Source organism: Homo sapiens, chromosome 8 (genome assembly GCF_000001405.40).
Source record: "Homo sapiens chromosome 8, GRCh38.p14 Primary Assembly".
Classification (NCBI taxonomy): Eukaryota; Metazoa; Chordata; class Mammalia; order Primates; family Hominidae; genus Homo; species Homo sapiens.
This window is the reverse complement of record NC_000008.11, coordinates 27,284,002-27,311,276: the sequence shown is the minus strand read 5'-3', so window position 1 is coordinate 27,311,276 and position 27,275 is coordinate 27,284,002. Positions and strand designations below refer to the sequence as shown.

Genomic DNA, 27,275 nt, shown 5'->3' with positions numbered 1-27,275 from the left:
CGGAGCAAAAGTTCCGGGCGCCCGAGCCGGCTGCTCGTGCCATGGAGCGGAGTCCCGACGTGTCCCCCGGGCCTTCCCGCTCCTTCAAGGAGGAGTTGCTCTGCGCCGTCTGCTACGACCCCTTCCGCGACGCAGTCACTCTGCGCTGCGGCCACAACTTCTGCCGCGGGTGCGTGAGCCGCTGCTGGGAGGTGCAGGTGTCGCCCACCTGCCCAGTGTGCAAAGACCGCGCGTCACCCGCCGACCTGCGCACCAACCACACCCTCAACAACCTGGTGGAGAAGCTGCTGCGCGAGGAGGCCGAGGGCGCGCGCTGGACCAGCTACCGCTTCTCGCGTGTCTGCCGCCTGCACCGCGGACAGCTCAGCCTCTTCTGCCTCGAGGACAAGGAGCTGCTGTGCTGCTCCTGCCAGGCCGACCCCCGACACCAGGGGCACCGCGTGCAGCCGGTGAAGGACACTGCCCACGACTTTCGGGTAAGAGCAGCGATTTGCACGAGGCGGCCGAGCCGGGTCTGGAACCCGGAATCCCTTGGCTCTGCGGCTCCCGCCCCTCCTGCCTGCCAGAGCCCAGTGTGCCCGCGTCTCGCTCCCAGCATGCAGGACCCCACCTCTCCGACCCAGGTTCTCAGGGCTGGCTGCTTCTTCAAGGTCGGCCCAGGGGCCCGTGCTGGGAGAAGAGAATGCGAACGGAAAGTGACAGATGAGGTTACATGATGTTCCCAAGACAGCGACACTTGCTTCTGAAGGGCCCAGGCCATGCACCCCTTGTGCCAGCCGGGTGTGGCCCAGGTCCCTTTAAGCGGCACGGATGTGGGTGCAGCCCACGAGCCCTGTAGCTTGGCACACTCAATTTAGAAGTGGAGGAGGAGCCACAGACCTGGCCAGGGGTGTGGAGTCTTAAGATTTCCCCCAAACCAGTCACCTACTTGCCAAGCTGATCCCGCGGTTTGTATTATCTGAGTGAGAGGTCTCTGACCCTGGCTGGCTGGCCTATTCTGGTTTATAAAGCAGCATCTCCATATCTAGAGTTCTAGTGACTATACATAAACCCAGGAGCAACTTACAGGGCAAAACTAACATGGAGAATTCTTTGATATAGGAAGGAAAAATGAATAGAAGATAAGGGTTAGCCTAACTCAGCATTTTCCAAAACGTTTAATCTTAGCCCATAGGAAGCAATGCATTTTCCCTTGTGACCCAGAACATATGTATCAGTTGAAACAAAAGTTTTCTGAACATGTCCATGGCACTCTGATATTTTCTGTTACTTCCCTTTGTTTTTTTTTTTTTTTGAGACCTCTATCGCCCAGGTTAGAGTGCAGTGGCGTGCTCTTAGCTCACTGCAACCTCCGCCTCCTGGGTTCAAGCGATTCTGGTGCCTCAGCCTCCCGAGTAGCTGAGATTACAGGCATGTACCAACACGCCTGGCTAATTTTTTTTTTTTTTTAATTTCTAGTAGAGGCAGGGTTTCACCATGTTGGCCAGGCTGGTCTGGAACTCCTGGCCTCAAGTGATCTGCCCTCCTCTGCCTCCCAAACTACTGGGATTACAGGCGTGAGCCACTCCGCCTGGCCTCTGTTACTTTTAAAAATTACCCAGAATGTGAAACATTGAATTTATTTCATCACCTGCTAATGCATGAGTCAGAGCCCCAATTGGGAGAACACTGGGTAGCTGGCCCGAAGCTGCATGGACTGGAGAGGAGGAGCTGCCCGAGTCCCCTGTGCCTGGTTTCTGGCCCCCTCTGTGGCCCTGCCTTCTTTTTTTGCAATACCTTTTTAAATACGGAAGTCTGTTCCGCTCCAAATGCATTTGACAAAGTTTAATTGAAGGGGAATGTAAGGATGCTGTCAGTACGCATGTCTCAATGAGTAACCCTGTTACTCCTGTCATCTTTTTTGTTTAACATGGGTCCATGTCAATGCTTTTCCTGTTTCCACTGGCAGAAGTGACAGATCCTGATTTGGGACAGCTGGAATAAGTGCTGGCCAGCCAGGGGTCTGGGGCCCAGGTAAAGGAGGGATCATGGTTCAGGTCATGACTGATGCCTATTTGGCTGGCCGAGGTGCTGATCAGGAGATGCTGGGGTCAGGGCTGAGAACACCCAGGCAGAGCCCCCAGGCTGGGGCCAAGCCAGGATTCAAGAGCAGAGAGCCATGCACCAGCAGATGCCTGGTACTGCAAGGTCCCAGGGATACTGCAGGAGACAAGATAGACCATTTCCAGCCTCAAGGAGCTTCCAGCAGAGACCCGAGGGAAGAGGAGGTGTTAGCCAGGTGAAAGAGGGTATTTCAGATAGAGGCAGCAGCATTTGGAAGGGTCCAGAAGTGGGAAAGCCTGACTTTCTAGGCACTGAGGGAATTTAAGGGTAGTTAGAATGAGGAGGGACGTGCAGGAGGATCCAGGAGGCCGGTGGCTCACCCTTGCTGTGAACAGCAGCTGGGGGTTTTAGCAGAAGAATGATGGTGTCAAGTCAGTGGACACTCAGGATGATGTCAGGGGCTGAGTAGTCTAGTCCCAAATGGATCTGAGAAGAATGAGAGCCAGGTGTGGTCAGCCTGATGCAGGGTGCAAATCACTCATTTACTAGACAAATGGGTACTGATGGCTGTTGTGTGCTGTGGCCTCTTCTTAGCTTCATGGAATTCTCATTTGAGCAGGGGGCATAGACAGTCAATAGACAAGATGTAGTTCTGTGTGATTCAAGGTAGGTGGTTGTGGGGGAGCGGTATGGGAAGATTCCCTCCACCACTTGGTAAGAAGGGACTGGGTAAGAAGCTGTGTGCCTCACTGAGGGGGTTTTCCGTTTTGTGCTGTGGGGAGCTCTGAAAGATTCTAAACAGGGGAGTTTGTGATGGGATGTGTGTTTTAGAGAAAGATTACTTTGCCAACTATCTATGTGAGGAACAGCAAAGTCAAAATCATCCCAGCTAACACATTTCAGTGCTCACTGTGTGCTAGATGCTTTTCAGTGTTCACACGTCAACAAATTTAATGCTCACAAAAACGTATTTTCAGGTCCTGTGTTTCCTGTTACTGCGTAATAAATGTGGTGGTTTAAAATAGCACAAGTTTGTTCTCTTATGGTTCTGGAGGTTGGAAGTCCTAAAATCGAGGTGTCTGCAGGGCTACATTCCTTTTGGAGGCTCCAGGGAGAATTTATTTCCTTGCCTTCTCCAGCTTGCAGAGGCCCCTTCTTCCAGCTCTGAAGTGTGTCATTCCGTTCTGCATCTGTTGTCACTTTGACTTCTTTGACCAGTTCTACTACCTCCCTCTCATAAGGACCCTGTGATGACATTGGGCCCACCCAGGTAATCCAGGATAACCTCCCCACAGCAAGATCCTTAATTTAATCATCTGCACAGTCCCTTTTGCCATACAAGATTCTGGGGATTAGAATGGGGACATCTTTTCGGGGAAATAATTATTCAGCTTGCTACAGTTAGGTGCTATTATCCCCATTTTATAGACAATTATAGAATCATAGAGAGGGTAAGAAACTTGTCCAAAGTCACAGAGCAAGTAGCTCTAAAGATCACCTGGAGCCTTGTTCAGTTCACACACTGGTCCTGGACTTTGAGAGAGGTTTCTCTCATCTCAGACTTCAGCGGGCAGCTGACTGTGTGTTAGGGGTTGGAGTGGCTGTTGACCATTGTCAGGGCTGGCAGAAGGTACTGGTTGTGTGCCAGTACTGTGTCCAGGACAGGACCGGACAGTCCTAGACCTTGCCTTTGTGGGCATGGTTGTATCATCTCACTAATAATTACATAGTTTCAGCTCAACATTCCTGTGAAGGACAGTACAGGATGTGGTGGGAGATTGTAAGGGGGAGGCTGCTCTTGTTTGGTGGGGTGTGGGAAGGAGTCTCCAAGGAAGTGATTTCGCTGAGAGGAGCTGATTGAGGGGCGGCGAGCAGTGTGTGTGTGTGGCGGGGGTGTGGCGGCGGGGCACAGCGTGGGGGTGTGCAGTGACTGAGAGATGGTTCACGTGGGGATGAGGAACTGCAGGACAGATCCCACAGGACACAGAGGGCCCTGCTTAGGAGCTGGGATTTTTATCGTAGGTGCAGTGGCGCATGATGGAAGGACTGATGAGATTTGGGAGCCTGGCATCATGTTTACAGCAGAGCTGTAGCAAGGAACAGTGCTTGGAAGGACCTTCAGAAATCCTAGTCTGGCGTTTCTCAAACTTGAACAAGTATGCATTCTTCTTAAAGGAAAAAATAGTCTAGCCAGTGAGAGTTAAATTATGTTATTATTTACATGCATACAAATGCAAACCTGGTATAAATAGCACTTGCTCATGCTACATATAAGCAATAAAACAAAAGGAAGTGAACAGACTGAATACAAAACTATAATCAATAACATTCCACTTAAAATATTAATTCTAAAGTTTTATTTTGCTGGAACAAAATCTCTACTCCTGGCCAAGATACTTCTGATTCTCCCATTACTCTGTTCCAAGTGACTACTTAATCCGCCCAAATTTCTCTGAAGAGCTCTGGAGCTTTCTTGTTACGGGATTGGCCTTCATTTGGGTCCGGCACATTCTTTACCTGCTATGTGTATTTCTCTTCTTTCCTTATCAGGACAAGACGATGAAAGTCATGTCTTGATATCAAGTAAGCTGTTAAGAAAATATGAATGGTGGCCGGGTGTGGTGGCTCATGCCTGTAATCCCAGCACTTTGGGAGGCCGAGGCAGGCAGATCACGAGGTCAGGAGTTCGAGACCAGCCTGGCCAGTATGGTGAAACCCCATCTCTACTAAAAATGCAAAAATTAACCAGGCATGGTGGCAGGTACCTGTAGTCCCAGCTACTTGGGAGGCTGAGGCAGGAGAATCGCTTAAACCCGGGAGATGGAGGTTGCAGTGAGCCGAGATCGTGCCACTGCCCTCCAGCCTGTACGACAGAGCAAGACACTGTCTCAAAAAAAAAAAAAAGAAAGAAAAAAAGAAAATACGAATGCTGATGATGAAGTTGTGAACTGAAAGCATGTGTCAGCGCTGTTTATGTCGTGGCTTGGAGTAGGATTGTCTTAGGTTTGGTTTAGGTTGCCATTAAATGAAAACATCCTCAGACACAGACCGTGCGTCATTCTATTGTGATGGAATGGTTACATCTTGTGAGGAGGTGGTTACATCTAAGTAATGAGAAGTGGATCAAGGCCAGTGTGTTTCATGCCTGTAATCCCAGTGCTTGGGGAGGCTGAGGCAGGAGGATTGCTTGAGGCCAGTAGTTCAAGATCCTGCACCAAAGAAGAAAAAAATTAGCCGGGTGTGGTGGCACATACCTGTAGTCCCAGCTACTCGAGGGGCTGAGATGGGAGGATTGCTTGAGGCCAGGCATTCGAGGGTGCAGTGAGCTATGACTGGGCCACTGCATCCAGCCTGGGCAACAGTGTGAGACCCTGTATCTTACATAAATAAATAAATAAAGTTCTAGGATCAGAACTCAGGTTTCCTGCCTCCCAGTCCAGCACTCTCCAGCTTGCATCTTCTACAGCAGCCCTGTGCTGAGCTGCCTTGTGCAGACCCTTGTCTTATCCATCTTGCAGGACTGGCATGATGACCATTCTTTGCCACCAGCCTCTCCCTGTCCCAGCTCCAGCCCTCTCTCCCCTTCTGGCGTCAACATCTTAGAGTCCATCTGGCTGGATCTAACCCAAGGGTACTCTCGATACCTCTTAAGCCACATTCCAGGTCTTCCCCCTTCCAATGCTTTTCCCCATTTCCTAACCACTCACCCCCATCCTGATCCCCAGCTTCTAGGTGAGGACTTACCAGCTCTTTGGTTGCACCAGAGGACATTGTTGCTTGCTTGCTTGTCCAGGCCTGTGCCCAGTGGTATTGGGAGTGGGGGGTGTCTCACTAGACCCTGCACACTGAGGCTCCTGAGTGATGGCCTCCAGCAGTGGGCTGCATGGCAGACACTTGCTTTGGAAGGAGGTCTGAACACAAAGGGGAAAGACAGATCTGGGAGACTGATTTGGAGTTGCATAAGAAAGCTCCATGCATTTTTACTGTTCATTTAAGAAACCTGGACCATATCCAGCAGGACAGTTAGGTTACCTGGCATGTAGGTGGCACTTAAGAGCTATGCCGAATGCACAGCATGTGCCTGCCACTCTCATGTAAGCATCTTATAGGGATTGATTTGTGGAGTCCTCACAGCAGTCCTTTGAGCTTGGTAGTATTTTTTATCCCTCTTATCCAGATGAGGAAATGGAGGTGCAGAGAAGTGAAGGAACATGTTCAAGATCACCTGCTACTAGGTAGAGGTGCTGGGATTTGAACCTGGTCGGCCAGGTGCCAGAACTCTTGGCTGCTACATCAATCTGCCTGAAAACAAATCGTGAAATTTGGGAGACTGTAGAGACTTCTCTGCTTTCATTTTTAAGGTGAGGAGCCTGATAGCCGAAGAGAGAAGGAACTTTTTACCAACTCACCAGTGGATAGTGACAAAGACAAGGCTCCAAACCAGCTCTCCTAACCTTCAGTCCAGGAGGCAAGGTATATAGCAGAAAAAACACAGGCATTCCATGTACTCATTGACTGGGCAGGTGGTTAACTGAACATCTACTTTGTGCAGGGACTTGGACATGCAGGGGACAAAACAAAGTCTCTCACCTTGCAGAGCAAGCATTCCTTCTGCAGAAGTGTACCGAGCACCACTATGCAAGGTAGAGAGGACCTGGAGGTTAAGACCTGCCCTCAGGAAAGAGAAGCTATTACCCTGGATAGTGAGTGCTGAGACAGAGGTGGCCAGGGTGCTGTGATGCCCTGGAATGGAACCTGAGCTGGCAAGATCGGGGGGCTTCCTGGAGGAAATGAGGGGTACTAGAGCCGAGTTTTCAAGGTGATGTTGGGTTAGTTGGGGGAAGCAGGTGGGAACCAGGCAGAGCAACAGTGTGTATCAAGTCTCACAAGACAGAAAACCTGGCTCAGGCCAGACAGAGCTGGTTTCACATGCAACTCTAGCACTTTGGTAAGTCCTTGCAAAGAGGCTATGAAGACCTTGTGCAATGAAATTCATTCTTTCCCTTGCCCCTACCTTCCTGCTTCCAGCTATACCACAGAGCACCTGTCCTGTTAATGAAAATTGTGGGTAACGTGATTTTGTAAAGTGCTTAAGATCTTCAATATGCAATTGAAATTTGTTGCTTAAGGAATCAACTTGTCATTTTTGGGAAATCATGTAGTCTATATGATCACATTCTGGATCCTTTAGTATGAATAAAAACCTATTTTGTGTGTGTTTATAACTAATCTTTAACGTAGGCTGGACGCGGTGGCTCATGCCTGTAATCCCAGCATTTTGGGATGCCGAGGCGGGCGGATCACCTGAGATCAGGAGTTCAAGACCAGCCTGGCCAACATGGTGAAACCCTGTCTCTACTAAAAATACAAAAATTAGTTGGGCATGGCGGCAGGCACTTGTAATCCTAGCTACTTGGGAGGCTGAGGCAAGAGAATTGCTTGAATCTGGGAGACAGAGGTTGCAGTGAGCCGAGATTGCGCCACTGCACTCTAGCCTGGACAAGAAGAATGAGACTCTATCTCAAAAAAGTAAAAAATATAAAATAAATAAATAAAAAATCTTAATGTTATAATGTGATGCTAACATCGAAGCTTGTTTGCTCTCCTGAGCTTGGGCTGGGGGATGCTCCAGATCTGTTGTGGGCCCCTGCTACTGCCCATCTCTGCTCATTCATGTGCTCCTTGGGCTACAGGCAGGCCCCTTGAGTGGTAGTTCTATTTGTAATCTAAGCATATTTAGGGTTAAAATTAATACCAAAAGCAAACAAAATAATATTGTTTAGATGCATTCAAATTCACACTTCTTACATGTCATATTTCCTAGGTGAACCACTAGATGCACAGAAGGGGAAAATGGAATAAAAAATGTGTAGTAAATTTTAAAAAAGGAAAGGAAGAAAAAGAAAAATAGAATAAGCAAGACAAATAGCTCAGAACAAGGTGGCAGATTTAAATGCAAACATATCGGTAATTATGTGTTAAATACTCCAGTTAAATGAAAATGTTGATCTGACTGGATAAGAAAACGAAACCTAATTCTGTGTTGCTTAATATAATTATCTCAGTGAGAAAACATTTGATAAAATTTACCATCTTTTTGTGTTTAAAAAAACAGGAAACTAGAAATGGAAGGAATTTCATTAGTTTGATTAAGTATATCTAGCAAAAAAACTTACAGCAAATATCACATTTAATGGCAAAACATTGAAAGCTTTCTTATTGAGATCAAGAAAAAGACAGGAATGCGCATTATGACCAACTCTATTCAGTTTTGTGTGGGATAGCCTTGTCAATGAAGTAAGCCAATAATTATAAATAAAAGATGTAAGGTTTGGAAAGAAGGGAAGCAAAACTGGCATGTGTAGATAATATGGTTGCATATTTTTGCACTGAGATTTCTATGTGTAGAAAATAAAGATTCTACAGTTAAATCATAAGTATTAATAAGTTTAGGTGAATGCTGAATCCAAAATCAAGATGCAAAACCAGTTGTATTTCTATGTATCACTAGCAAATAGAAAATAAAATATAGGCAGGGAGTTTTACACCTGTAATCCCAGCACTTTGGGAGGCTGAGGCAGGAGGATCGTTTGAGCCAAGGAGTTTCAGACCAGCTTGCACAACATAGTCCAGCCTGTCTCTACAAAAAGTTAAAACAAATTAGCCAGGTGTGGTGGTGCATGCTTGTAGTCCCAGCTACTTGGGAGGCTGAGGTGGTGGGAGGATCACTTGAGCACAGGAGGCTGCAGTGAGCTATGATTGTGCTACTACTGCACTGCAGCCTGGGTGACAGAGGGGGACCCTGTTTTGGGTTTTTTTAATTTAAAAATATGTTTACAATAATATAAAAAATAAGATAACTAGGAAGAAATTAATAAAAGATACGCAAAACTCTGATAGGGAAAAATATACTTCGTTGAGAGCTATCAAAGAACATTAAGTAACTGGTGTGATATATTATGTTCGTGGATTAGTAAAGTCAGTATTTAAGCCTTTCAGTTTTCCCCAAATTGATCTATAGAGACAATATTGTACTAATCTAAATCTCAACATGATTATTTTTATGCAACTTCACAGATTCTAAAATTTATATGACCCTCAAAGGGCCAAAAATTGCCAAGACATTCTTGAAGAGAAACCTATCAGAAATCCTCTCTTTTTTACAGCTATAGAAATTATGGCTGTGTGATGTTGGCACAAGGATAAACAGATGGGCCAGAGAAACAGATGGAGAGAACCAAAAAACAGATCTGTGTCTGATTTAAGACAGAGGTGGCTCTGCAGACCAGTGGGCAGTAATGGTCTTTTTAAATAATGGTGCTGAGACAATGAGCTACCTGGTCACACCATGTGCAAAAATAAACTCCAGGTATCCACATCAGACCTAAATGTGAAAGGAAAGCTATAAAGCTTTGAGAAAATACTACAGAGCTATACAATAATAATGCAAAGCTATAAAGCTTTGAGGAAATAATACGATTGTTTTTGTGATCTCAGTGTAGGGAGGTGTTTCTTAAAACTAGTATACTAATCCTAAAGGAAAAGACTAATAAATTTGGCCATATTTCAATTAAGAAAGATAAATGATGAAGTAGAAAATATTCATTACACCTCTAACTAATCAAGGACATACATTGTGTATATATAATAAATTCCCACAAACCAGTTAGGAAAATGGCAGGCAACGCAATGGAAAAATGGACAATACTTTACTGAGTACTTAAAAATAAACATTGAAGTGGTCAATAAACATTTTCTATTAACATTGCTCTTGCTGTAAAAATTGGTACCACTGCTTTGGAAAACAATTTGGCATTACGCAGTAAAGTGAAGACACATATGGTGGCCCAGCAGTTTTATCCCCAGGAATATATTATGAAGAAACGAGTTCCCATGTGTCCCCAGGAGACATGTACAAGAAGGTTACCTCCTCTGGGTCTAACTTGATCCTCTGTATAATGGGACTCACAGTGCTTAACCTTATAGGGAGAATTCGAATTAAATAATTGAATTAAATAGAATGTTTGTAAAGTGCATAATTTAGTGCCTTGTGTCTAGTACATGCTTAATAGTAACTGCTTGCTAGCAATAGTAATATAATTGTTGGTTAGTCTCATCAGCTGACATCTCAGAGAAGGGCCATTTTAGGATTGGTCTTTTCTGAAGGAAACCAGAACTCTCCAAGTGATTGAAAAGTTTGAGAAGATCAAGGGACTATCCCCTTCCCATCCTTATTGTCCCATAAATTCCTAAGGGCCAGGGTTGAAGGGCAGGGGCTGAACTGTGTTGTTTTGGGGCCTGCACACCTTTGGGTAATGCGTATGGACAGCTGCTTCACTCCTGTCACTTAACTAATTTGGCAAATCACTAAATTTTCCTTTTGAACTGTATTACATGATTTTGTATCAAAAATCTCATTCTATAAAATAAAACATTGGAATGACATTTCAGTGGTTTTGTGGGGGCACTCATGCAAATTAGAGATGATATACTACAGAAAACAAAGTTTAAAAATCTTAAATATTGTCACTTAAGATTAAAAGATCAAAATGAGTTGAAAATAAAACAGAACTGCAGAAAATGAAATCAGTAACCATTTTGTTTTCTGTAGTGAAAGACTTAAAGGAATGGGCTACTGAGTGGGACAAATGGGCTAGTTCTCTATTTCCTAGCAAATTGCCCCAAAACTTAGTGCCTTAAAACAAACATTAATTATCTTTGAGTTTCTTTGGGTCAGGAATTGGGCCTGCCTTAGCTCTGGGTGCCTCTGCCTCAAGGTGTCTCATGAGGGGCTGCAGTCAGGGTTCTGTGGGCTAGTTCTAACCAATGGGCTAGTTCTCTATTTCCTAGCAAATTGCCCAAAACTTAGTGCCTTAAAACAAACATTTATTATCTTTGAGTTTCTGTGGGTCAGGAATTGGGCCTGCCTTAGCTCTGGGTGCCTCTGCCTCAAGGTCTGTCATGAGGGGCTGTAGGTATGGAGCTGTGGTCTCATCTGAAGGCTCAGCTAGGGCAGGATCCTTATTTACACTCACATTTGTAGTTGTTGGCAGGATTCAGGTCTTCACGGGCTGTTAGCCTGAGAGCCTGAGTCCCTCACTGGCTGTAGGTCAGAAGCCACTCTCAGTTTCTTGCCCCAGCAGTCACTCCCAGGGCAAATTACCACATGGGCAGCTGGCTACCATCCCAGTGAGCAAGCTAGAGAGAGGAAGGCAGGGTGTACACAGCCTTTGTCGCCTAACCTCAGAGGTGACTTAGTATCACTTGCCACATTCTTTTGGTTAGAAACAAGTCACCCACAGAGGAGGGGATTTCACAAGAGCATGAGTATCAGGAGGTGAGGGTCACTGGGGCCACTTTAGAGGCTGCCTGCCTGAATCTGTCCTTTGCCCCATAAGGAGTCATGTCCCTCCCACATGCAAAATGCACTGGCCCTCTCCCAAGCTCTCCAAACATCTCATCCCTTTACAGCATCAGCCCAAAGTCCAGATTTGTCATCTAAATCAGGTCCAGATGGGAATGAGGCTTTGGGCGACACATCTGTATAATTTATTGCTGCATATCCAGTCACCCCGACATTTAGCAGCTTAAAACACTCTCATCTCACAGGAGGGAGGGATCACTGGGTGCTGTCTCAGCAGCTGCCTCCATAGCTGTCCAGGTTCACGTCCTTCCACATACTAGCTGTGTGCCCTTGGGCTGGTCATTTCCCTTCTGTGCCTCACTTTCTCATCTATAAATGGGGCCAATAATATTACTTATCTACTAGGGAGAAGTAATGATTAAATGACATAATTTCTCAAGTAATTGGTGTTGTCCCTGGCACAGAGTAAGTACTGAATAAATGATAACCATTTATAATTATTTGAATTATTTTTCTTAAGAAAAAACTTGAGAAGCTTTCTGAGAATGTAGATCGAAAAGGATAATGAGGGAGAAAAAATGATAGGCCTAAGATACAAGAGGCAGGAATCCAACCTAAAACACTCTAGTGGTTCTTCAAGTTGTCCAAGGACATCAGAAACAATCATTAAAGTTTAAGAAACAAAAACTACTAAACCAAAAGTATTTGTGCCTGCTGATTAAAGTATTCCGTGCGATACAAGCAGTGTTAGAATGTCAGGATGCAGGAGGGGTATGGAGGGGCATGTTGGGCATGTTGAGGTGAGGCCTCATGGGAGGTAACTGAACCCCGTGGGAAATGACTGGCTCCACCCCCATTGTCAGTCACCTCACATTAGAGATTGCAGACCCATTCAGTTTAGGAAACTGCAGAGGGAACCTATGACCACACTGTCTGCAGTTGTCCACACAGCTCAGGGATTCAGACCCAGCATGAACCAGCTTTTGGCCCACATGGGACACTCTTCTGGCCTGTGCTGTGACCAACATGAGAGAGAGCAGCTTGCTTCTTCTCAGCCCCATCTCCCAGTCTGTACCAGGCTGGGCTACAGGATGTCTGAGGGCTCTTTATCCCATGGATGTCTGATTCAGGATCAGGACCTTACTTACCATTTGTGCCCAGAGCACTTGGCATGGATGGGGTTAGGCAAATGCAGTTGAGTTACACTTGTGTTGAAGTGGAGTCCCAGTTGTAAATGTGATGTGTCTGCCCTCTCTGCCCAGCCTCCAGCCCTAACCTGTCTTCCTCCCTCTCTCTCATTCCCATGTCAGGCCAAGTGCAGGAACATGGAGCATGCACTGCGGGAGAAGGCCAAGGCCTTCTGGGCCATGCGGCGCTCCTATGAGGCCATCGCCAAGCACAATCAGGTGAGCGAACGATGGGGCCAAGTGGGAAGATTGGGTCCACTCAGGGCAGTCTGGGGAGGAGTGAAGATGTGTCAGCCGTGGCTTTGGCTCACATAACCCGCTGGGTAGAGGTCGGCTGCCTTACCTCTGATGGTCCTGTGCAGCCACGTCCTGGATGCTGACTGTGGCTTCTCTGCCTTGGCCCCTCTAAAGACCCAGGCGTGGTCATGCCAGCAGCCACAGGAGTGACTTAAAAAGCTACCAACACCATCTGCACTATGGCACATGCATCATATCACTGCCACCTGTGTGTTCAATGATGACCTGGGACTCATGTACTTTCTTGTTTTCTTTCAGTTCCCACATCCACTCCATCAGCAATCCTATTCCCCTATCTCCAAAGTATGTTATTTCTGTAAAACCCTCCACCTTTTGGTCCAGGTCATCATCATCTCTCACTGGGCCTCCTGCCTAGGGCCTCATGCTTTCATTCTTGTGCATTCTCCTTTCCATGGACTGGGGTGATCGTTTAGAAAAAAACACCAGCCGTGCCCCTCCTCTGCTTAAAACTGCCAGTGGCTTCCAGTCACCCTCAGTACCACCCAGATTCCTTACCATGGCCTCCAAGGCCATCTCCTGACCCTGCCTATCCTCAACCTCATTTACTTCTCTGCCTCACCTTCTTTCTGTCCCTTAAGCAAACTAAGTCTTCTCCCCAGAACACATGCCCAGCATCTTTGCCATTAAAATCTCAGCTCAGATGTTCTCTTAAAGAAGCTTTTCCTGATCATCCTCCTCTTTTACTCGATGGCATAATTTCCTGGTTTATTTTCTTAATGACACTTCATTACCTGTAATTACCTTTTGTTTTCTATTTGCTTTTTATCCCTTCCTGTCAAAATATAATGAAAACAGGGCACACTATTGCCAGTTATCTAGAGGAGTTCTTGGCACACAATAGGTGACCAATAAAAATTGTTGATTGAATGAGTGAAGTGGGTAGGTGACCAATAACTGTTAATCAAATGAATGAGTGGGCTCCCTCTGTCCCCATTCTGGTTGTTCTGCCTGGCACCCTCTCTTCCTCCAGGTCCTGTGTGGATTGGCAACCTTGTTTCTGACTGTTGATCTTGGCTCTGGTCTTTGGCTTTCTGAAGTGGTTGCTTCTAGTAATTACCACTCTGTTAGACTCATCTTAGCCACAGCTGAGCCATGCCTGGTCCAGGTTGCTGGGCGCTGTCCTCAGGAGCCTGCGGTCCCCTCCACCATGTGTCCATAGGTGAGGATTAGTCCCAGGAAAGAGCCTCATTAACATTTGGCTGTGGAGTTTACCCTGAGCCACAGAGCTGGTGGAACAGTGTGGAAGAAAGGATTATGTGACACACTGGGTGCCAGGGCAGTAACCGCAAAGCAGACCTATTTCCAAATCTAAGCCCAGTTCCCCAGCAAATCCCTCAACCCCCTCCAAGCTAATCCCCTCCTCTGTAAAAAGAGGGCAATTCCCTTTTACTAGGGTTTTTAAAAAAAAATTTAGATAAGATAATGCATACAAGTGCCCAACAGAGACAAGTCCTTAACATTTCTGATGTCTAATAGACCAACAAACTGGTGGGAGAGAGTTTTCACTTTGTTCAGTAGATTATTTTGTCATCCGATGTCAGAGCCATAAATACATGTTGAAATTCCAACTCCAAATAGCGATTACGAACCTGCTGTTGCTGGAGTTTGTTGAGTTGTTTTTCCAGTAGTCATCGTGGAGTCATGTAGCTTTATCATTGTTCTCTTACTTGGTTTCCTTCTGTGGCTAAAGCCATATGACTGGCTTGCCTTGTACAGGACTGGGTTGGGGATACTTAGGGAGTATCTGTCTGTCTGTGTGGTGGCACTGCCTGCCCATCCCAGGGAGTGTAGGAGTCCTGAGCTTTTTGCTGAGGCTAAGGGTAATGAGGTCACATGGGAAGCCCCTAGAATTCCAGCCTGATTAGTACTTTTTCTATTAAATTCAGTTATCAGGTCGATGAGGAAAGTGAAAGTTCTGGTGTTTGTTCCTTTACAGTGAGGCCGTCATTGCCCACGGTGAGTGGGCAGGAGTTGACCTTGCACTTGCTGGTTTTTCCTGCCATGCTGTGTTCTTGATGTTTTTGTGTGATAAGAATTACTGGGGAGAGGGAGAGCATCAGGATAAATAGCTAATGCATGCGGGGCTTAATGCCTAGGTGATGGGTTGACAGGTGCAGCAGACCACCATGGCGCACATTTACCTATGTAACAAACCTGCATGTCCTGCACATGTATCCTGGAACTTAAATGTAAAAAAAAAAAAAAAAAAAGAGAATCACCCTGGATTCTACTCTCTCCAATGCAGACATTATCAGTCTTTTCAGCCTGATAGGTTAACCATGCTGTTTGTCCTCATTTGCATTTCTTTGATTATTGGTAAGTTTGTACATCTTTTCACAAGCATAATAGTCATTTATGCTTCTTCTGTGAATGCTAATTCACATTCTTTTTTTCCCTTGGAATATTTGTCTTTTCTCTTAGTGGATTTGTAAGAGTGCTTTGTACATTAATAATAATAGCCATTTGTCATAAATGTTGCAAATATATTTCCTAGTTTGTCATTTCTTTTTGAGTGGATCATTCTCAATTTTTTTGGCCATTTTCATTTTTTCAGTGAATCCTTTTCGTATATTTTCAGAGCTGTAAACATACACACAGTCCCTGGCTTATGATTTTTTGACTTTACTGTGGTACGAAAGCAATATGCATTCAGTAGAAACTGTACTTTGAGTACCCATACAACCATTCTGTTTTTCCCCTTCAGTACAGTATTCAATAAATTACATGAGACACTCAGTGCTTTATTATGACATAGGCTTTGTGTTGGATGATTCTGCCCAAGTGTAGGCTAATGTGAGTGTCCTGGGCACGTTTAAGGTAGGCTAGGCTAACCTATGATGTTTTTAGTAGGTTAGGTGTATTCATTGCTTTGACTTAACTATTTTTCAACTTATGATGGGTTTATTGGGATGTAACCCCATCATAACTTGAGGAGCATCTGTATTTAACTTTCAGTCCAAAGATGAGTTTACTAACCTGCCATTGCCACAGCACACATTTTGAATGGTTTTTCCAACAGTTGTCATGGAATTGTATTTTTGTCTTTAACTTTATGATAGTCTCTTGCCATACACACCTCTTATTTTTCTGTGTATTCAGTTATCTCATTCTTTCTTCAAGGCTTCTCAGTTTCATACTGTGCCGAGGAATGTCTTTCTTATTCCAAGCTGAGAAATATTTATTTGCTTTTTCTTTCATTACATTTATGGTTTTATCTTCCCTTTTAAAAAACTTTTTGTGAGGCTGGGCACAGTGGCTCACGCTTGTAATCCCAGCACTTTGGGAGGCCGAGGCGGGCAGATCACCTTAAGTCAGGAGTTTGAGACCAGCCTGACCAACGTGGCAAAACCCCATCTCTACTAAAAAATACAAAAATTAGCTGGGCGTGGTGGCGTGTGCCTGTAGTCCCAGCTACTCGGGAGGCTGAGGCAGGGAAAATTGCTTGAACCCAGGAGGCAGAGGTTGCAGTGAGCCAAGATCACACCACTGCACTCCAGCCTAGGTGAAAGAGCGAGACTTAGTCTCAAAAAGAAAAAAAAAAACAAACTTTTTGTGGTTGTGATTTGGAGTGTGTATATTATTTTAATGATTGTTTTAAAATGAATGCTTCCTACTGCTCTTTTGGTAAAGCCTCTGGATCAGACAAATTTTAAGTCCTAAGATTGGAAGGTAAATACTTAAAAAAAAATCATTGCTATTCGCAGCCATTCATTTCTATGATTCAGGACTTCCCTTGTTATGGTGCAACCTAAAGAAGGAACTGAACATTGTATGTAGATGAGGTTATAGTACTACAGTTGCCATCTATATAAGCTGTGATTTTATTTTTAAAAACCCTGTCAAAACAATCTAATATTAGGTTGTTGGACTTTCCCATTTGAAATCGGAACTTAGAAATTTGTGCTTATAAACTATTATGTTGATATTTTATCTGTAGGGGTTCTATACATGATTTATTTGAACATAAATTTCCTTTGCTAAAAATGGGAAAGTTGCTGGGCTATGGATGTCCTCTCCACATCTGACCCCTGACTCCTCCTGCTGTCTTCCGTAGGTGGAGGCTGCATGGCTGGAAGGCCGGATCCGGCAGGAGTTTGATAAGCTTCGCGAGTTCTTGAGAGTGGAGGAGCAGGCCATTCTGGATGCCATGGCCGAGGAGACAAGGCAGAAGCAACTTCTGGCCGACGAGAAGATGAAGCAGCTCACAGAGGAGACGGAGGTGCTGGCACATGAGATCGAGCGGCTGCAGATGGAGATGAAGGAGGACGACGTTTCTTTTCTCATGGTAAGGAGCTCAGCGTCTGGATTCAGTGACAGGGCCACATGTTCCAGGACCAGCTGGGAGCCATAGCCCACCAGCCCTGGCCAACGTCATCTTCCTGGAGCTTCCTGGGTACTGGCCTGGAGGAGCTCACAAGTAACCTGCTCTGCTTGTGTCATGAAACTAAAAAGACTTATCAGGGCGGAGTTCCTTGAAACCCTGTTATTTCTTCCTCGCTCTTCTTTTTTTTAGAGACAGGGTCTTGCTGTATCACCCAGGCTGGAGTACAGTGGGTGATTATAGCTCAGTGTAACCTCAAACTCATGGGCTCAAGTGATCCTCTCTCCTTAGCCTCCTGAGTAGCTGGGACTACAGGCACGAGCCACCATGCCCAACTAATTTTTTTCATTTTTTACCAGTCAGGTAGGGGTGAGGGGGGTCTCACTATGTTGCCCAAGCTGGTCTTGAATCCCTGGCCTCAAGTGATGCTTCCACCTTGGCCTCCCAGGTAGTTGGACTACTGGCGCACCACTGTGCCCAGCTCCTGTCTCTTCTTTCTTCCTTTCTCTTGCCCTCTCTCTTACTCTCATTTTTTTTCCGGTCTCTACCTTTTAATAAGATGAATTCTTTTAAAATCATTCAATTATTTAAATTTTTTATTTAAATATAATGCCTTGGCTTTCTGTCTTCTTAAGAAAAGGATGATTCCATTCTCTCTTTAAAAAAACAGTATTATTCATTTTTTTTTCCTTTTATTGATTTATTTCCTCCCCATGAGCCAGTGGTCCTTACAAATTTCCTACAGGGAAATTTCTGGGCTCGAAAGCTGGTCTGTAAACTGGCCAGGGTGGTGAGGTGTCTCTTGTACCTGGAAAACAGCTGACTGCTGTGGAAGGGGTGTCGCTGTAGAGTGGAGTGGGAGGCGACAGGGACAGTTATCTGTTCAGGCAGTGTCATCTCCTGGGTGGGTCCTTTAGGAGTTCTCCACCTCACTCAAAGCCTGGAACCATGAAGTCTCCTGTCTCAAAAATGTCCCTGATTATGAAATCATTCTGTGTTCAGAGCTGTCTCTAAAAAGAAAAATGAAGAAAAAAAAAAAAGAAAAAGAAAAATCATTTTGTGGGATCTAAAAGCTGTGTGTCTCGAGGATTCTGTTTAGGGAATTGGGAGTATTGTCTGCCCAGTACTCAGAGTGCTTTCAGGGATGATTTTGGTTTGTGACTCTTTTTTATTTTTTATTAACAACTTTATTGAGATATAATTTACATGCTAAACAATTCACCCATTTAAAATGTACCACTCAGTGATTTTTAGTATATACAGAGTTGTGCAACCATCACGACAATTTTAGAACATTTCATGCCTCCAAAAGCAGCCCTGCTTTAGCTGTCACTCCCCAGTTCCTCCTCCCACATAAAAACTGCTACCGAAATTGAGTCTAACAGAGTGGTAATTACTAGAATTAGCAGCCCCTGGCAACCACTAGTCTACATACTATCTATATGGATTTACCTGTTGTAGACATTTCAAATGCATGGAATTATATAACATGTAACCTTTTGTGACTGCCTTCTTTCAGTCAGCATATTTTGAAACATCATTCATGTTGTAGCATCTATCAGTACTTCATTCTTTTTTATGGCTGAATAATATTCCATGGCATAGATATATAATCATGCACTTCTTAGTGATGGGGATATGTTCTGAGAAATGTATTATTAGGCAGTTTCTTCATTATGCAAGTGTCATGGAGTGTGCTTACAGAAGCCTACATGGTGTAGCCTACTGCACACCTAGATTATATGGAATAGCCTTTTGCTCCTAGGCTACAAACCTGTACAGCACGTTGCTGCACTGAATACTGTAGGCAACTGGAGCCCACTGTTAAGTATTTGTATATCTAAACATAGAAAAAGTACAGTAAAAAACAGTGATATAATCTCATGGGACCATACCATAGTCATATATGTGGTTCCTTGTTGACTGAAACATCGTTACGTTGCACATGGCTATATTATATTTTATTGATTGATTTATCAATTGGTGGTTGCTGTGGTTTAAATATGTTCCCCAAAATTTATGTGTTACAAACTTAATCCCCAATGCAACAGTGTTGGGTGGTGGAGCCTAATAAGAAGTGATTGGGTCATGAGAGCCCTCATGAATGGGTTAATGTTGTTACTGGCAGAGTGGGTTAGTTATTGAGAGAGTGGGCTTGTTATAAAAGTGAGTTTGGGCCCCTCTTGCTCTCTTGCTCTTGGTCTTATGTGTAGTCTCTTGCCCTTCTTCCTTCTGCCATGGGATGACACAGCATGAGGGCTCTCATCAGATGCTGGTGCCATGCTCTTGGACTTTCCAGCTTCAGAACCACGAGTGAAATAAACTATTGTTTATAAATTACCCAGTCTGTGGTATTTTGTTACAGCAACACAAAATGAACTAAGACAGTGGTCATTTGGGTTGTTTCTATTTTGGCTATTATGAATAATATGACTATAAACATTCAGGTAGCAATTTTTATGTGGACATGTTTTCATTTTTCTTGGAAATATGTCTGGGAGTAGATTTGCTGGATCAAATGGTAACTCTAGGTTTAACTATTGGAAGAACTGCTAGGCCATTATTCAGAGCAACTGTATCATTTTATATTCCCATCAGGAGTGTATGTGGATTCCAGTTTCTCCATATTTTTGCCAAAATTTGTTTTTTAAAAATTATAACCATCCTTGTAGGTGTGAAGTGGTATCTCCTTGTGTATTGCATGTCATCACATCCCTGATGGCTAATGACTTGGAACATCTTTTCATGGGCTTTTTGATCATTAGTAGATCTTCCTTGGACAAATGTCTATTCACATCCTTTGCCCATTTTTAATGTGGGTTGTCTTTTTATTGTTGAGTTGTAAGAGTTCTTTATATAGTCTAGATACAAGTTTTTTATCGGTTTTAGCTCTTCATGTAGGTCTTTGATGCATTTTGAGTTTTTTTTTTGTATATGGTATAGTAAGGGTTAGTCCAACTTCACTTTTTTTTTTTTTTTTTTTTTGCATGTCAACATACAGTTTTCCCAGTACCATTTGTTGGAAAGACTATTCCTCCATTAAATCATCTTGGCACTATTGTAAATAATTGATTGATGGTAAATATGAGGGTTTATTTCTGGACTTTCAATTCTATTCCATTGATCTCAGTGCCTGTTTTTATATTAGTACCATACTATCTTGATTACTGTTGATTTGTAGTAAGTCTTGAAATTGGAGATTATGAGTCTTCCAATGTTCTTCTTTTTCAAGATGGTTTTGGCTATTCTGGGTTCCTTGAAATTTTGTGTGAATTTTAGGATCAGTTTTTTAGTTTCTGCAAAGAAGCCAGCTAGGATAAGGGATTGCACTGAATCAGTAGATCAACTTAAGGAGTCTCTTCTTATGTTTTCTGTTGCTATGACAGAATATCACAGACTGGGTAAATTATAAAACAATACAAGTTTATTCAGCTCAGTGTTCTGGGTGAGGCCAGGAAGTCCAGGAGCATGATGGCTCTGGCATTTGGTGTGGGTCATCTCATGGCAGAAGGAGGAAATGAGTGCAAGACAGAGTAGTTGCTCATTGCTTTATAGCAACCCAGTCTCATGACAACTAAACCACTTCACAATAACGGTATTAATCCATTTGTGAGGGCTCTGCCCTCATGACCCAATCACCTCTTTTTAGGCCTTTCCTCCCAACACTGTCGCATTGGGGATTCAGTGTTCAACACATGAACTTTTGGATAATATGTTCAAATCATAGCAGGGATGTTATTGTTAACATCTTGACAATATTAAGACTTATGATCCATGGAATGCATGACTTCTTTTGAGGTCAGAAACATATACATTTCCTCTACATCTGTGTCTCTGTGTTATTTTTTTATTTTTATTTTTTCAGAAACACAAGAGCCGAAAACGCCGGTAAGTTGCCAAAGCTGGTGGAGGGGAGGGGAAGAGTGGGCAGAAATACCAGGGGTGCAAACTCCAGTGGCCCCGGGGCAAGCAGGTAACAACCAGCTGGGTGCACCAGCACACATGAGCTACTGGCCCTGGTTTTAGAGGGAGAGGTGGACAATGGCCAGGTGGAGAGAGCCCTCTCACAGCATCCAGTTCAAGTTGGCTCTGGGGCAGTGTTGTTCTCCTGAGTGTGGAGGGTCCCCACCTGCCGTGCAGGGAAGGAGAACACTATCCTGCATGTGGCTTGCATTTCTCGGGGCCAGTCAATGTCAGGCTTGTTTCTTGATCAGCCCCCTCCCTCTGAGAGCCTTAGGCCATGGTGGTTTGTGTTGATGGTTGTTGGGTTCACAGGGATGAATGAGGAAGAGCTGTGTCCCAGTCAGAGCTGTGCAAAGATGGAATAGAGTGCTTTTGGAGGGAGTGAGTTCCCTGTGCTCACTTCCCACTGGCAGTGTGCAAGCAAAGGCTGGAGGACACCTTGGGATTGTTGGACTAGAGCATCCTTAGGGTCCCTTCCAACTCAGACATCCCATGAGCCGGATGTGTAAGTGTGATTTCTGCCTGCAAGGATGGCAGCCATGTTGGAGAACCTCCTGTTTGTATTTCTCCTAGTTGGGGCAGGGTGAGCCCTCGGATTGAATGCTGAAGGGAGATGGCAGCCCTGTTGGCCTTGGCCCATCTCCCATCGTAGCCCAGTCCAGTCTTGTCTTGGAGAAGGTGGCCAGGAAACTTGGGCCTGAGGGAAGGGAACAAGTCCTGTTGCTGGTTTCCAGTTGGCCCAGTTCGGCCCAGGTTGCATGGCTCTGGCCCTGCCCACCATACCCATTGTACTTTTCCAGACTCTTCTGCACCATGGAGCCAGAGCCAGTCCAGCCCGGCATGCTTATCGATGTCTGCAAGTACCTGGGCTCCCTGCAGTACCGCGTCTGGAAGAAGATGCTTGCATCTGTGGAATCTGGTGAGCGGGGGTGCCGGCAGGTGTCCCAAGCATGGGTGGAAGCCCTTCATGTTAGCAAAGAGGCACCAGGGCTGGTCTCTGCCGGGCCCACCTCCCACCTCCTCAGAGCTCCCCTCCTCTCTCAGCTGATCCCTCTGCCAGTCCCTCGCAGGCAGGTTCCTGTACCCTGGTCTTTTCCACTCTGCCCAACACCTCCAACCCTCCTGGTAGAATGCCTTCTCTCAGGGTCCTGACACTTGGTCCCTTCTTCAGAGAGGGAAACTGGCTTTCTTGCCTATTCAGAACTGTGTTTTGTATGATAAAAGACCTCCTGCATCTGGGCTTGCCTCTCCTAAGGCGACTGCAGCCCACATGAGCCACAGTGTCCTGGTTTTACGGGGAGGAATATCACTGACTCAGGGAATGGGCCGTGCTGTCCTAACATCCCTTGGTCGTGTGAGTGTTAAGAGTCTCTGCCTGTATGAGTTCCTGTGGCTGCCATAACGAAGGACCACAAACTAGAAAATGACAGAAGTTGACTCTCTCACAGTTCTGGAGGGTAGAAATCCAAAATCCAGATGTTGGAAGGACCAGGCCCCCTCTGAAACCTGTAGAGGAGAGTCTTCATTTCCTCTTCCGTCTCCTGGTGTCTCCTGGCCATTCTTGGCCTTATTGGCTCCCCCTCAGCACTTTGATCCTCACCTCCGCCATCACACAGCATTCTCCCCTGTGTATCTGTGTCTGTCTCCTCTTTATTTTAAGGACACAGGTCATATTGGATTGGGGACCCTCCTCCAGTCTTCATCTTAACTAATATGTGTACAACCACCCCATTCCCAAATAAGGTCACACTCGGAGGTACCAGGGGTTGGGACTGCCGCATATCTTCTGGGGGATACAGCCCAACCCCTGCCACCACTCCAGCCCTGGGCCACTCCTTGCATGGACTTGGGGCCAGGTGTGACACAGTGGTTGGTTTGTGGGGCTGGAGATATCCACGTGTGGCCTAAGGGACCTCAGGTTTGCTGATTCCCCATTTCCGCCTCTGCTTGCAGTACCCTTCAGCTTTGACCCCAACACCGCAGCTGGCTGGCTCTCCGTGTCTGACGACCTCACCAGCGTCACCAACCATGGCTACCGCGTGCAGGTGGAGAACCCGGAACGCTTCTCCTCGGCGCCCTGCCTGCTGGGCTCCCGTGTCTTCTCACAGGGCTCGCACGCCTGGGAGGTGGCCCTTGGGGGGCTGCAGAGCTGGAGGGTGGGCGTGGTACGTGTGCGCCAGGACTCGGGCGCTGAGGGCCACTCACACAGCTGCTACCACGACACACGCTCGGGCTTCTGGTATGTCTGCCGCACGCAGGGCGTGGAGGGGGACCACTGCGTGACCTCGGACCCAGCCACGTCGCCCCTGGTCCTGGCCATCCCACGCCGCCTGCGTGTGGAGCTGGAGTGTGAGGAGGGCGAGCTGTCTTTCTATGACGCGGAGCGCCACTGCCACCTGTACACCTTCCACGCCCGCTTTGGGGAGGTTCGCCCCTACTTCTACCTGGGGGGTGCACGGGGCGCCGGGCCTCCAGAGCCTTTGCGCATCTGCCCCTTGCACATCAGTGTCAAGGAAGAACTGGATGGCTGAGCTGGCCCGGGGCTGCCCCGGTCTTGTGCCACAGCACTGTTTTCTTTCTGCCCTCTTCCTAATGCCCACACTGCTTGGGCACTATTGCGCCCCTGCCTCCTTGCCAGGCTCTTCCTCCTGTCCTGCCTGGTCCTTTTCCATGACTCCAGGCTGTGCCTCTCTCCATGTTTGGTCCCTTCTGTGCCCATGGTCAGGAGCTATTCGGGTGGCACCTCGCTGGCCAGGCTCTCCCGAGTCGTGGCACCTCCACAATGTGAATTTTCTGAATCCCTATTCCAGGATTTCTGGGAATAATGTTTACTTCTAGAATGGGCCTGTTGTAAACCATCTCATCGAGGTGTGGTAAAGCCATTGGATGAGGAGGGGACTGCCATGGAAAGGAGAGTTTGTTACTTACGGTTCTGAGAGGAGGGGCCACATAGGAAAGCCCCACGGTGGGTCAGAAGGCGGAAGGAGGGAGGGGAACGTGTGGGCAAGAGACTTCCTCTGGTTTCCTCAGGAGGAAATGGGCAAGGCAGAGTAAGCAGGGGAGACAGGTTTAAGGGTAGCTGGCTTGAGTAATTTCAGTGGCTCTCAGGATAGGGGCTGCCCTTTTTGTCTGATACCTGGCCCCGGGATAGTCAGGACAGGTGAATGTTGGCCTGGGGTGTGACAGCCCTGGGAGAGCCATGTGAAGGAGGCAGCTGGCGCCATCGCTCCGGATTAGTTGGTTTCCATAGGAAAGGCATGCTTTCAGCCAGATGCTTGCCATCTCTAGGGATTGGGGGATTGGCTAGCCTGGGAGGATCAGTCTGTCCAGGTCAGCGAGGCCCCAGATACCAGAGCATCAAGAGTACAGGAAATACAGTTAATGCAGGGCCTCTGTGTGGCTGGATCCTCCGTCTCCATCAGATCAGCTCTGATTGATCTATTCTTGCACGATTTCCTCTGAACACAGGGTTCCAGAGTACTTAAACACAACATTTTTTAAATCGTGATTTCGGCCTATTTCCTTGCCAGGCCTGTTTCCCCACCAGGAAATGAGATAGGAGGACTGGATGAGGATGTCCTGTTATAGTTGCTGTGGAGGAAGTTCCTCTGGTTAATTCTCATCAGCGTCTGCAGAAAAGAAGGAAAGAGGGCACCCTTTTCAGTTGGGAAGAAAGGAGAGGGGTGGCGCCATGGACGTGGCCCTAAACGCTGTGGGAGAGGGAAGAGGAGGCTGGGCCTCGCTGCCCTCTTGTCTCTGCTGACTTCAGCCTGGTCATGCTTGCTCTGCCACTTGCGATTTCATCCCTAATTTCTTCCTCCACCATGCCTGCAGACTTTTCCCTGGGCTTGTTTTTTCTCGCACATCTCTGAAGAGTTTTTAATCTTCAGCTCATCATGTCCCAGGAAGTGGCATCATAAAAGGAAATATTTTTTTTTCCTAGGAGCAGTGTTAAAATCTGGGTCACATTCCTGACCAAGGACAGCATCCTGCCTTCTGCCCATCCCCTTCAGTTCACAAAAGCTGACATTTTAAACAAATCATGACTCACACGTATTAATTGGTTATAAATATGTTGTGTACACTGGTTAGATAAAACTTAAGGCCACAAGGAGGGCCCAGGTAGGCGATGTCAGTGTGTGAAGGGGCTGGATTGGGCGTGGTGAGGATGTTGGCAAACCAGTGCATGCACCTGGTTGGAAGATGCTCAGCCTCACAAAAGCTCCAAGCCCTTTGGGAGCCAAAGTGTCTGAGAGTGTGACCCTCTCCTGTAAAGTATTTATCCCACCCATTAATATAATTTCTGTATAATAAACTTGACCTGAAATTATTTCATTCTTTATATTAAACTTTTAAAAATGTTTTTTATTTTCACCTTAGATATGGGAAGAGTTTTTTTTTTTTTTTTTTTTTTAACAGGATAACTTGAGCAGGCTAGGCCTCTTAAAAAAAAATTTGAGCTAAAACTCATTTTTCTTTTGGCATTTTCTTTTCAATGTTCTTATAAGCAAAGTTCATCCATGTTGTAGCATGTGTTCAACTTTATTTTTTCATCGGGTAATATTCCATTGTATGGAATGGTAGTACTACATTTTATTTATCATGCATCGATTGGTGGACATTTGGATCGTTTCTACTTCTTGACTATTATACATAATGCTGCTAGGAACTTTTGTGTATGAGTTTTTGTGTGGACATATGTTTTCATTTCTCTTTGGTATATGCCTGGGAGCAGATTTGCTGGATCATATGAAACTCTATTTAACCCTTGAGGGACTCCCAAACTGTTTTCCAATGTGGTGACACAATTTTATATCCCATCAACAGGGCATGAGGGTTCTGATGACTCCACATCCCTCAGTGCTTTTTATTATCTATCTTTTAACTTAGCCATCCTAGTAGGGGTAATGTGGCATCTCATTGTGATTTTGGTTTGCATTTCCCTGATGGCGAATGATATTGAGCATCTTTTCATGAGCTTATTGGCCATTTGCATATCTTCTTAGGACAGCTATCTTTAGATCACTTGCTCATTTTTTAATTGGGTTATTTGTCTTTTTATTATTGAGTTGTAAGAGTCCTTTTATAGCCTGGCACAAGTCCCTTTAACTGGTATATGATTATAAAATTTTTCTCCGTGAGCTGTTTCATTTCCTTGATGATGTCCTTTGAAATACTAAAGCTTTTAATTTTGATGATGTCCAATTTTTATTTATTTTTTCTTTTGTTGTACATGTATCCTAGAAATCTCACTTTTGATACTGCCCTTAGGTCCATGTAAGTTCGGGGTTTTGGCTCAGGGATGGGGCAGTTATTCTGTTGGCAGGAAGCGCTAGTCCACGAGTTCATTAATTCTTCCCTGAAGCCCCTCTCCTGCCCTTGCCTTCCACTCACCCCGTCACTCTCCTTCTCATTACTGTGTCCAGGCTCAAAGCAGCAGCTCTCTGGGAAGGCCCCCGTTCTCCAGTTTCTCCCACTTTTGCATCCATTCCACATGCACCATCGTTCATGTTCCCATCACCTGGAGAGACCCCATTTCCAACCCGCTGCAGTGCATTTCTCCAGGGCAGCTCTCAGGGCACATTGTCACTGCACTCTGCCTTTATACCCGGAGTCTTCTCAGTCCCGTCACACATGGCTCCAGCCGGACCAGGCTCCTGTTTACCCTTGAAATAGGCCACCTGCCCTCACCAGGGGCCCGTTGTCACTGGAATGTCCTGACCTTGGTTGCTCTGGCTCTCCTGATCATATTGGCTCTGCCGCTTACGTGATATCTCCTGGGGCACACACTGCCTGCCTGATCTTATTTTCTCATCTGTAGAAGTGGGGCCCCTCCCCACCTCCTGAATGTCTGAGCAGTGTGAGCACCTCAGAAACTGGAGTCTCAGAGCACACGAGAGCCTCAGTAACCTCCAGGCTCCCAGTCATGTCCACGTCAGCCACCAGGTATCAGTTGGTCAGAATTAGGTGCACAGGGGCCATTTCCTTTTTTGCTTCCTCTTGCTTGTGGGGGATGAAATTTCTCTCAACAGTATTTGATTGCTCAATATCACAATAGTGGAAGTCTTTCGTGACCCTT

At 45.8% G+C, this 27,275-nt stretch overlaps 2 protein-coding genes across 7 annotated transcripts in view, besides 3 other annotated features; one reads left to right on the top strand and one right to left on the bottom strand.

The window, feature by feature from the left end:
• Positions 1-771, bottom strand: part of PTK2B (protein tyrosine kinase 2 beta) — a 148,886-nt gene extending 148,115 nt beyond the window's left edge. For all 3 annotated transcript variants that reach the window (XM_047421544.1, XM_047421545.1, XM_047421552.1), the window contains exon 1: positions 611-771. The gene's annotated coding sequence lies outside the window, so the exon portion shown is untranslated. The remainder of the gene's footprint in view (positions 1-610) is intronic.
• On the top strand, positions 5-26,391 carry TRIM35 (tripartite motif containing 35). Of its 4 annotated transcripts, none has more exons than NM_171982.5 (6): positions 5-476; positions 12,718-12,813; positions 16,967-17,197; positions 21,099-21,121; positions 21,997-22,115; positions 23,150-26,391. In NM_171982.5, the coding sequence occupies exons 1-6, from the start codon at positions 42-44 to the stop codon at positions 23,725-23,727; spliced, it is 1,482 nt and encodes a 493-aa protein (NP_741983.2). In that variant the 5' UTR covers positions 5-41; the 3' UTR covers positions 23,728-26,391. The 4 variants fall into 4 exon arrangements, with proteins under 4 accessions (NP_741983.2, NP_001349742.1, NP_001291424.1 ...); XM_047421602.1 differs by lacking the exon at positions 5-476 and adding an exon at positions 6,434-6,516; NM_001362813.2 differs by lacking the exon at positions 21,099-21,121.
• Positions 147-296: an enhancer, noted in NCBI's record as "active region_27134". NCBI's record gives its function as "activates an Ori minimal core promoter by ATAC-STARR-seq in GM12878 lymphoblastoid cells {active_cell/tissue: GM12878}" and the evidence as "EXISTENCE:reporter gene assay evidence [ECO:0000049][PMID:35858748]".
• Positions 307-526: an enhancer, noted in NCBI's record as "active region_27133". NCBI's record gives its function as "activates an Ori minimal core promoter by ATAC-STARR-seq in GM12878 lymphoblastoid cells {active_cell/tissue: GM12878}" and the evidence as "EXISTENCE:reporter gene assay evidence [ECO:0000049][PMID:35858748]".
• Positions 927-1,036: an enhancer, noted in NCBI's record as "active region_27132". NCBI's record gives its function as "activates an Ori minimal core promoter by ATAC-STARR-seq in GM12878 lymphoblastoid cells {active_cell/tissue: GM12878}" and the evidence as "EXISTENCE:reporter gene assay evidence [ECO:0000049][PMID:35858748]".
• Positions 26,392-27,275: the final 884 nt, after the last annotated feature.

What these genes read in the sequence shown, in the direction of transcription:
- TRIM35 (NM_171982.5), top strand. Translation starts at nt 42, where the DNA reads ATGGAGCGGAGTCCCGACGTGTCCCCCGGGCCTTCCCGCTCCTTCAAG. An exon ending in ACACTGCCCACGACTTTCGG is followed by an intron (nt 477 to 12,717) that starts GTAAGAGCAGCG and finishes TTCCCATGTCAG; the next exon opens with GCCAAGTGCAGGAACATGGA. An exon ending in CCATCGCCAAGCACAATCAG is followed by an intron (nt 12,814 to 16,966) that starts GTGAGCGAACGA and finishes TGTCTTCCGTAG; the next exon opens with GTGGAGGCTGCATGGCTGGA.